At 41.2% G+C, this 10,312-nt stretch overlaps 2 long non-coding RNA genes across 2 annotated transcripts in view; one reads left to right on the top strand and one right to left on the bottom strand.

Moving 5' to 3' along the window:
• Window positions 1-5,165: 5,165 nt before the first annotated feature.
• Window positions 5,166-9,166, top strand: LOC105371879 (uncharacterized). The gene is made up of 3 exons (XR_934950.3): window positions 5,166-5,683; window positions 8,879-8,988; window positions 9,077-9,166. It is a non-coding gene; the product is annotated as an uncharacterized LOC105371879 (long non-coding RNA).
• Window positions 9,134-10,312, bottom strand: part of LOC105371878 (uncharacterized) — a 27,118-nt gene continuing 25,939 nt past the window's right edge. The window contains exon 4 of the long non-coding RNA XR_934949.2: window positions 9,134-9,215. This is a non-coding gene — a long non-coding RNA (uncharacterized LOC105371878). The remainder of the gene's footprint in view (window positions 9,216-10,312) is intronic.

The following is a 10,312-nucleotide window of genomic DNA, read 5'->3' as shown; positions in this document are numbered from 1 at the left end:
AAAAAAAAAAAAAAGGATAATTTTTTCTTTTCCTCCCAGATTATGTGTACATAAAGGATACTTTTTAGAAAGGTTAAAATCATGACTCAAATACAAACATAAAATGAACACGTGCAAGATTTTATTTAACTTATTAATTAATAAGGCAATGAATAAGATGTTAGAACTGAGTCAAAGGAGAATTCAAAGACTACACATGTATAGGTATTAGGAATGCTGGAGTGAATAAATAAATGTAAATGTAAAACAAGTTAATATCCAAAGGCAATGTTCAATTGCATATCAGTGAACACAATTTGCATTTCTGCAGATAAGAATCATTTGTATCACTATCTGTATTTTATATCTTACGGAGTTATAAAATAGCTCAAAGACAATGAAAGGTGGAGATAGCCCAAAGGGTGTTCTAGACAGGACACTCAGTACTCTTTGTCCATTTCAAAGTAAGAAAGGAGTTCAGCAAGACTGGTTTCACAAAGTACAGGTCACGAAAGCCCTGCTGATAAAACAGGATGCGGTAAAGAAGGCAGCCAAAACCCAGATGGCAATGAAAGCAACCTCTGGTCGTCCTCACTGCTCATTATATGCTAATTATAATATATTAGCCTACTAAAGGAAACTCCCACCAGCCCCAAGACAGCTTACAAATGCCATGACAACATCCAGAAGTTACCCCACATGGTCTGAAGGGGAGGGACCCTCAGTTCTAGGAATTCCCCACCCCTTTCCTGGAAAAGTCATGAAAAATCCACCCCTAGTTTAGCATATGATCAAGAAATAATCATAAAAATAGCCAACCAGCAGCCTTCAGGGTTGCTCTGCCTATAGATTAGCCACCCTTTTATTCCTTTACTTTCCTAATAAACTTGCTTTCACTTTATTTCATAAGCTCACTCTTGAATTCCATTCTATGCAAAGCCAAGAACCCATGCAGCCTCCCAGGCTGAACCCCAATGTTGGGGTTCACCATATGACAAAAGAAGTCTTTCACTGTTGTTCTAACTTTATAGATTTTAGAACTCAATACACAGCCTGGCCACAATGACAAGTCCCCATCTCTACAAAAAATTAAAAAATTAGCTGGAAGGCCGGGCACTGTGGCTCACACCTGTAATCCCAGCACTTTGGGAGGCCAAGGCAGGCAGATCACCTGAGGTCGGGAGTTTGAGACCAGCCTGACCAACATGGAGAAACCCTGTCTCTACTAAAAATACAAAATTAGCCAGGCGTGGTGGCAGAAGCCTGTAATCCCAGCTACTTGGGAGGCTGAGGCAGGAGAATTGCTTCAACCCGGAAGGTGGAGGTTGTGGTGAGCCGAGATCGCGCCATCGGAATCCAGCCTGGGCAACAAGAGCGAAACTCCGTCCCCCAACCCAAAAAAAAAAAAAAATTAGCAGGGCATGGTGGCACGTGCCTGTGGTCCCAGCTACTCAGGATGCTGCAGTGGGAGAATGTCTTGATCTCTGGAGGTGAAGACTACAGTGAACCATGATTATACCATGGCATTTCAACCTGGGTGACAGAGCAAGACCCTGTCTTTTTATAAAGACAGAAAGAGAGAAAAAGAGAGAAAGAAAGAGAGAGAGAAGGAAGAAAGGAAGAAAGAAAGAAAGAAAGAAAGAAAGAAAGAAAGAAAGAAAGAAAGAAAGAGAGGAAGGAAGGAAGGAGGAAGGGAGGGGAAGGAAAGAAAGAAAAAGAAAGAGAGAAAGAAAGAAAGAAAGAAAGAGAGAAAGAAAGAAAGGAAAGAAAGAGAAGAGAAAGAGAAAGAAAGAAAAGAAAGAAAGAAGGAAAGAAGGAAAGAGAGAAAAGGAAGGAAGGGAGGGAGGGAAGGAGAGAAAGAAAGAAACTCGATACATAAAAATAAAAGATCAATTTAATATATACAAGATCTTTAATTTTTGGAAAACAAATGATAATCTTTAAATAAAGCAAATAGGCCAGGCACGGTGGCTCACACCTGTAATCCCAGGACTTTGAGAGGCCGAGGCAGGTTATCACTTGAGTCTAGGAGTTTGAGACCAGCCAGGCCAACATGAAGAAACCTCGTCTCTACAAAAAATACAAAAATTCGCTGGGCGTAGTGGCACATGCCTGTAATCCCAGGTACTTGGGAGGCTGGCTGAGGCATGAGGACCACTTGAACTGGGGAGGCGGAGGTTGCGGTGAGCTGAGATCGTGCCACTGCACTCCAGCCTGGATGACAGATGTCTCAAAAAAATAAAATAAATAAACATAAAATAAATAATAATAAAAAAAGCAAATAATCACAGAAATTAGATTTCAACCAAATAGTACAAATCAGTCTTCACAATTTATAGATGAAGATCAGTCCTCACATTTTATAGATGAAAGTATCCAAGGTTAAATAATTTGCCCCAAATCAGAAAGCTGGCTGCTGGCAGGGCTAAGAGAAGAACAGGGAAACTCGGGCTTTCTAGAGAATTATCAAAATAAACAGAAACAAAAAATTAAAAACTTTGTGTATTAAAATTACCTTTAAATATTTTACACTTAATGAATTACCCATCTAAGATAAGAATAAACTGAAGCAAACATCAGTTAGGAAAATTCCTAAGGTCATAGGGCTGGATAAAACCAGAGATTGTTTTGGTATCAGAAAACTTATTTTTGACAGGGTGCGGTGGCTCAAGCCTATAATCCCAGCACTTTGGGAGGTCGAGGTTGGAGGATCACTTGAGGTCAGGAGTTCAAGACCAGCCTGGCCAACATGGTGAAACCCCATCTCTACTAAAAATACAAAAATTAGCTGGGTGTGGTGGCACGCGCCTGTAATCCCAGCTACTCAGGAGGCTGAGGCAGGAGAACTGCTTGAACCTGGGAGGCGGAGGTTGCAGTGAGCCAAGACTGCGCCACTGCACTCCAGCCTGGGTGACAGAGTGAGAATCCATCTCAAAAAAAAAAAAAAAAGAAAAGCTATTTTTTTTTCCATCAGGGCAAATGTGCTGAACTCATATTGCTTAATTACATAATGATCATTTGTACAATTATAACCATTTTTAAATTACAAATATGTTCTCTATTGGGTTTTACTGACAAACTCAGTGTTTCTTTGATTTGATTGCAGCGTAAGCAAGGAAGCTTTTTCTGAGAAGATATACTCATTCACAGACATTTTCTTTTTAATTAAGTCAAAGTATTCCCTTGCCTTATAGATAACATTAACAAAGAGATTATTACTTCAATTACAGATGTGAAGGCTGATCTAGTAAATTAAGGATGTGCCTGACTTATTTATTTTTTTTTTTGAGATGGAGTTTCGCTCTTGTTGCCCAGACTGGAGTGCAATGGCGCAAACTCTGCTCACTGCAACCTCTGCCTCCCGGGCTCAAGTGATTCTCCTGCCTCAGCCTCCTGAGTAGCTGGGATTACAGGCGTGCACTACCATGCCCAGCTAATTTTGTATTTTTAGTAGAGACAGGTTTTCTCCATGTTGGTCAGGCTGGTCTAGAACTCCCGACCTCAGGTGATCCGCCCGCCTCAGCCTCCCAAAGTGTTGGGATTTCAGGCATCAGCCACCACGCCTGGCCAGTGTGCCTGACATTTAATCCAACAGATAGCTAAACTGAGTTCTACAATATTTAAATTGAAAATTAAGTCATTTAGTGGAGTGTGGTGAGGCATGCCTGTAATCCTAGCTACTCAGGAGGCTGAGGCATGAGAATTGCTTGAGCCTGGGAGGTGGAGGTTGCAGTGAGCCAAAATCACGCCACTGCACTCCAGTCTGGGTGACAGAGCAAGACTCTGTCTCAATAAAAATTAAAAAAAAATAATAATGTCATGTTCAGATTTGATTTATGTGTAAAAAATTTTTGTTAGAGTTAAGAGGCATTTTTCTCAGGTACTTGGGCTGCTGAAACACAAATATAGGCAATCAATGCAACTTCATTTAACATTCAGACACTTTAACAAGTGTGTAAGTATTGCAGACTCATGGATCTGCTTGTTCAGATTAGCATAACCAATATAACAATACAGTAAATACTACTGATAATAATATCTACAATAAATATATACAATATATAATATACAATAATATACACAATATATTGTATACAATAATTGTATATTATATATAATAAATAATATATAATAAATACCAATATTACCAATATAATAATGTATACAATGAATAACATATACAATAAATAATATATACAATAAATACCAATATTACCAATATAGTAATACAATAAATAGATACCATAACTTATTATTGTGAAAAATACGCAAAGGCTCCTGAGTCATACAGCTCTGTTCTTTGGACTTACCTGTTCTATGTCCCTATAGTTATAACCCTTAAGTTAGAGTGAAATAATCACTCTAACTTGGAGGAAGCATTTCTTCTTTGATTAGTCAGTGATCCGTCAGCAGTAGTTTGGGAGAAAGATTGTTTAACCATTCTATAACCTAAAGGCTGGCACACATCTGTTGTACAAAGAAAAGGAGTGTTGCAACCTTCCTTTGGAATAGAGATTGCCTGCTTTTGTGCTAATACATGTTTGGCTTAAAAATTATTTCTGTTGGCAAGGGCATAGGCTTTTCCAACATAGTGAGATTTTCTTTCCAGGTACATCTTACATTTGGAGAAAACATACACGTAGGAAGGACTGCTGTGAAGCCTTTTCACTGTACTTGTGATTTTGATTGACCTCTCTAGTACCAAATTGAATTTTAGACACCGCAATTTGAATTTTATATTGAAAACTTTGGGTCTGTAGGAGAAGAAAAACTATCATTAAAATTGCAAAGTGGGCCGGGTGTGGTGGCTCACACCTGTAAACCCAGCACTATTTTGAGGAGAGGAGGGCCCAGGGCAGATCGTTTGAGCTCAGGAGTTCAAGACTAGCCTGGGCAACATGGTGAGACCTTGTGCCCCACAAAATAAACAAAAGCTTAGCAGGGTGTGGTGGTGCATGCCTGTAGTCTCAACTACTTGGGAGGCTGAGATGGGAGCTTGAATCTGAGAGGCAGAGGCTACAGTGAGGTGAGATGGTGCCACTGTACTCCAGCCTGGGCAACAGAGTGAGACCCTGTCTCATTTCATCTTATCTCATTTCATAAAATAAAATAAAATTCCAAAGTGGATCTTGAGAATATAGAGTGTTTTATTCTGCTCAGGCTGCTATAACAAAATACCATAGGCTGCAGGGCTTCAACAATAGACATTTGTTAATATTTCTTCTGAAAGTTGGGAAGTCCAAGATTGAGGTGCTGGCAGATTCTGTGTCTAGTGAGGGCCACTTTCTGGCTCGTAGACAACCATCTTCTCCTTGTGTCCTCACATGGCAAAAGGAAAGAACTCTGACCATTTCAGAGTTCTGTGTAAAAGCACTAATCCCATTCATGAAGACTCCACTATCATGATGTAATTACTTTTCAAAGGCCCTGCCTCCTTATACCATCACACTGGGGGGTTAGGGTTGCAGCATATGAATTGGAAACTAGGGAACACATTTTGTCTATGGTACTAACCCACATCCAATTCATGAGCAAATCCATAGGCTCCACCTTCAACATTTATTCAGAAGTTAACTTTGATCACCACCTCCACAGCCACCATCTTAGTCCAGGACATCATCATCTCTTACTTGGATTATTGCAGTAGCTTAACTTGTCCCCCTGACTGTGCCATTTCTAAGGCAGTCTGTCCTCAACCCAGCAGGTGAGAGTGAGTGATCCTTTTCAAGTAGAAGTCAGATCACCTTACGTCTCTGCTCAAATATTCTCCAGTGGCTCCCATCTCACTTTGAGTAAAAGCTGAAGTTCTGGCCGGGCATGGTGGCTCATACCTGTAATCCCAGTACTTTGGGAGGCCGAGGTGGGTGAATCACTTGAGGCCAGGAGTTTGAGACCAGCCTGGCCAACATGGCGAAACGCTGCCTCTACTAAAAACACAAAAATTAGCTGGGCGTGGTGGTGCACTCCTGTAATCCCAGCTTCTTGGGAGGCTGAGGCAGGAGAATCTCTTGAAGCCGTGAGATGAAGGTTGCAGTAAGCCCAGATGGCACCACTGCACCCCAGCCTGGGTGACAGAGTGAGACACTGCCAAAAAGAAAAGAAAGAAAAGGAAGGAAGGAAGGAAGGAAGGAAGGAAGGAAGGAAGGAAGGAAGGAAGGAAGGAAGGGGAAAGGAAAAGAGAAGAAAAGAAAAGAAAAAAAGAAAAAAAAAAGCCAAAGTTCTTACTATGATCTACTAGTTGTCTTAGCTCTGGTTTCCTCCCCACCCAAAGTAGAGCCTGGTATAGGGCTGTGTGCAGGTAGTTTATGGTTAAAAATGATTCCCCAAATGAAGACTGTTTGAAAAGTGAAACAAGGAAGGAAGGAAAGGAAATCCAAGTGTGTGTTATTGAGCTGACCTCCACAATGGGCAAAATTGGAGCTGGGTCCCTCTGAGGAATCTCAACAAGCTATCTCTGTATTCCCTCAGAATGGTCCTGCAAAGGATAGAAGAAGGATGTAATTATCCATTTGCTCCCATACCCCATAAGGATTCCTGGCATGCACAGGGCTAAGGGGTTCATGCAAGTGTTCCATGCCACAGTGGGGAAGGAGCAAGAGATAAATAGCCATCAGAAGAGGTGCTGTGGGATTACATCTGTGCTGCTAATTGCCTAAGCAGTAGCTGGAGTTAAAGGATGGCTGATAGCATGTAAGGTGCAGCTCTAATGGGGTCTGATACAAAGCCCTGTATTGCCCTCACTTCATTACCTCTCTGACCTCATTCTCATTCTTTCCATCAGTCACTCTTTCCCACTTCCTCTGCCCTGCTTGTTGTTCTCAGAACAAAATGGACATGCACCCTCCTCAGGGCCTTTGCACTTACTATTCTCCCTGCCAGAAAAGACAGCTGGCTGGCTTGAAATTCACACAGCTGGCTTCCTCATCTTCTTCAAGTTTCAACTCCAAAGTCACATTTTTAAAATGTATACATAATATTTTACATATTTTCAGGGTACATGTGATATTTTGTTGCAGCAAATGTGTTACGATCAAGTCAGGGTATTTGGGGGTACCCATCACATTGAGTATTTATCATTTCTATGTGTTAGAAACATCTCAAGTTTTCTCTTCTAGCTACAGGTTTTTTGTTTTGTTTCATTTTGTTTTTTGAGATGGGGTCCCGCTCTGTCACCCAGGCTAGAATGCAGTGGCAGCGATCTCAGCTTACCGCAACCTCAGTCTCCAGGGTTTAAGTGCTTCTCCTGCTTCAGCCTCCCGAGTAGCTGGGATTACAGGTGCCTGCCACCATGCCTGGCTAATTTTGCATTTTTTTTTTAGAGACAGGATTTCACCATGTTGGCCAGACTGGTCTTGAACTCCTGACCTCAAGTGATCTGCCTGCCTCAGCCTTCCAAAGTGTTGAGATTACAGGCATGAGCCACTGTGCCCAGCCTCTCTTCTAGTTACTCTGAAATATACAATAAGTTGTTGATAACTATTAATATTATCATCCTACTCTGCTATCTAATACTAGAACTTACACCTTCTATCAGCTGTACCCATTGACCAACCTCTCTTCGTCCCCTCCCCTCAACTCATACAACCTTCCCAGCCTCTGGTATCTACCATTCTGTCCTCTACATCCATGAGATCAACTTTTTTAGCTTCCATATATGGGTGAAAACATGAAAAATTTGTCTTTCTGTGTCTGACTTACTTCACTTAACATAATGACCTCCAGTTCCAGCCATGTTGGAGGCAAATGACATGATTTTAATTTTTTATGGTTGAAAAGTATTACATTGTGTATATATATTACATTTTATTTATCCATTCACCTGACGATGATCACTTAGTTGATTCCATATCTTTGCTTTTGTGAATACTGCTGCAATAAACATGAATGCAGGTATCTCTCTGATATACTGATTTCTTTTCCTTAGGATAAATGTCCAGCAGTAGGATTGCCGGGTCCTATGGTGGTTCAGGTTTTTATTTTTTTGAGAAGCCTCCATACCGTTTTCCATAGTGGCTGTACTAATTTACATTTTCACTAACAGTGTGTAAGAGTTTGCTCTTTGCATCCTCACCAATATCTGTTATTTCTTTGTCTTTTTAATAATAGCCATTCTATGGCTGGGTGCGGTGGCTCACACCTGTAATCCCAGCACTTTGGGAGGCTGAGGCAGGTGGATCACCTGAGGTTGGGAGTTTGAGACCAGCCTGACCAACATGGAGAAACCCCGTCTCTACCAAAAATACAAAAATTAGCTGGGTGTGGTGGCACATGCTGGTAATCCCAGCTACTTGGGAGGCTGAGGCAGGAGAATCACCTGAACCCAGGAGGAGGAGGTTGCAGTGAGCTGAGATTGTGCCATTGCACTCCAGCCTGGGCAACAAGAGCGAAACTCCATCTCAAAAAAATAAATTAATTAAAAAAAAATAGCCTTTCTAAGTGGGGAAAGATGATATGCCATTGTGGGTTTGATTTGCATTTCCCTGATGATTAGTAACGTTGCACTTTTTAAAAAAATTTGCCTGTTGACCATTTGTATGTCTTCTTTTGAGAAATGTCTGTTGATGTCCTTTGCCCAATTTTTAATGGGATTACTTGCTTTTTTTTTTACTGTTGAGTTGTTTCAGTTCCTTGTATAGTCTGGATATTAGTCCCTTGTAGGATGAATAGTTTGCAAACATTTTCTCCCATTCAACAGGTTATCTTTTCACTCTGTTGATTGTTTTATTTGCTGTACAGAAACTTTTTAGCTTAGTAGAGTCCCATTTATCTATTTTTGTTTTTGTTGTCTATGCTTCTGAAGTCTTAGCCATGAAATCTTTGCCTACAATGTCACATTTTAATTGAGGTATCCTTAGCTATCTCATCTAAAATTTAGATTCCCACTCTCCCAATGCCATAGCTCTTCTGTCAGTTTGCCAGGACTTAGACTTCTATGAATCCATGAATGTGGGCTGGCTCTGCGAACACTGCTGTGAAGGCTACATTTTTTTGCGGACCACCTAGGCACAGGTAGGTTGGTCTGCCTGGTTTGTACTGCAAGAGCAAAATAACACAGACTGGGTAATTTATAAATAATAGAATTTTTTTTTTCTCACAGTTCTGGAGGCGAGCAAGTCCAAGATCAAAGCACTGGCAGCTTCTTTGAGGGTCTGTTCCAGTAAAAGCATCTTCTTGCAACAACATCCTCACATGACAGAGGGGGGAAGGGCAACAGGACATGAATGCTGTGCCCTCACCTGGTGAAGAGAGGAAGAGCAAAAGGGTCTCAGCTAGCTCCCTCCAGCCCTTTTCTAAGGTGCTAATTCATTCATGAGTTAACCACTTCCCAAAAGGCCCTACTTCTCACTACTACCACAATGGAGATTAAGTTTCAACACATGAATTTGGGGGGACATTGAAACCACAGCATCTCTCTTGCCAACTTAATTATTTTTCTCCTTCACATGGGGTAACATTTCATATGCTTTACTTTTTATCTTGTTTATTTTTTTCCCTCCTCCACTGAAACTCTGTGTGTGTGTGTGTGTGTGTGTGTGTGTGTGTGTGATGTGTGTTTTGTTCATTGCTCTACCTTTAGCACCTAGTACAGTGCTTTGCACATAGTAGGCACTTAATAAACATTTGTTAAATAAATGAATAAAATGAATTGAAATGAATCAAGATAATGCTGGCAAACCTTAAATTCCCTTATTTACGAACAGTGTGGACAGTACAGAGGGAATGGTGTACCCTAGTTTGAAGCTATGATATTCTAAACAGAGGTACTTGACTCAGAAACAGAGCAGCTACGTTTGCCAGGACTTAGACTTCTATGAATCTATGAATGTGGGCTGGCTCACGATCACTGCTGTGAAGGCAACATTTTTTGCAGACCACCTAGGCACAGGTAGGATAGTCTGCCTGGTCATCTATGATACCTGCAAGCAACATAGTTGGTAGTTTTATGTGGCTTAGATGTTCTGAATTATCTGGGGATCATGAATTTCCAGTCAAGCCAGGGGCCATCACCAGCATCCTGGAGAACACAAAAGATGTTTCACCCAAGAGCATTGGTTCTTTTCACTTGCAACCATGGGTTGAATGTGGGCCTTAGTGGCACTCATTTCACTGTAGATGCTAATGAGCAAATGTGGCCAGGTGGCTGGTCTCTTCCAAGCAAACACACGAGGCAATCAGTTCAGCTGGCTATCAGCTTTGGGAGTTCATAGTATCTGGCTCCAACACGTCCTAACAAACCCTTCTATAACTACCCACAGAGGGCAGTGCTTTTCTAGGCTATGTCAAAATATTGCTCTAGTGTGGCTGCTGAGTTCTTATGCCTGAATGAACCATT

Source organism: Homo sapiens, chromosome 17 (assembly GCF_000001405.40).
Source record: "Homo sapiens chromosome 17, GRCh38.p14 Primary Assembly".
Classification (NCBI taxonomy): domain Eukaryota; kingdom Metazoa; phylum Chordata; class Mammalia; order Primates; family Hominidae; genus Homo; species Homo sapiens.
The sequence above is the reverse complement of the archived record's forward strand: the minus strand, read 5'-3'. Positions and strand labels throughout refer to the sequence as shown.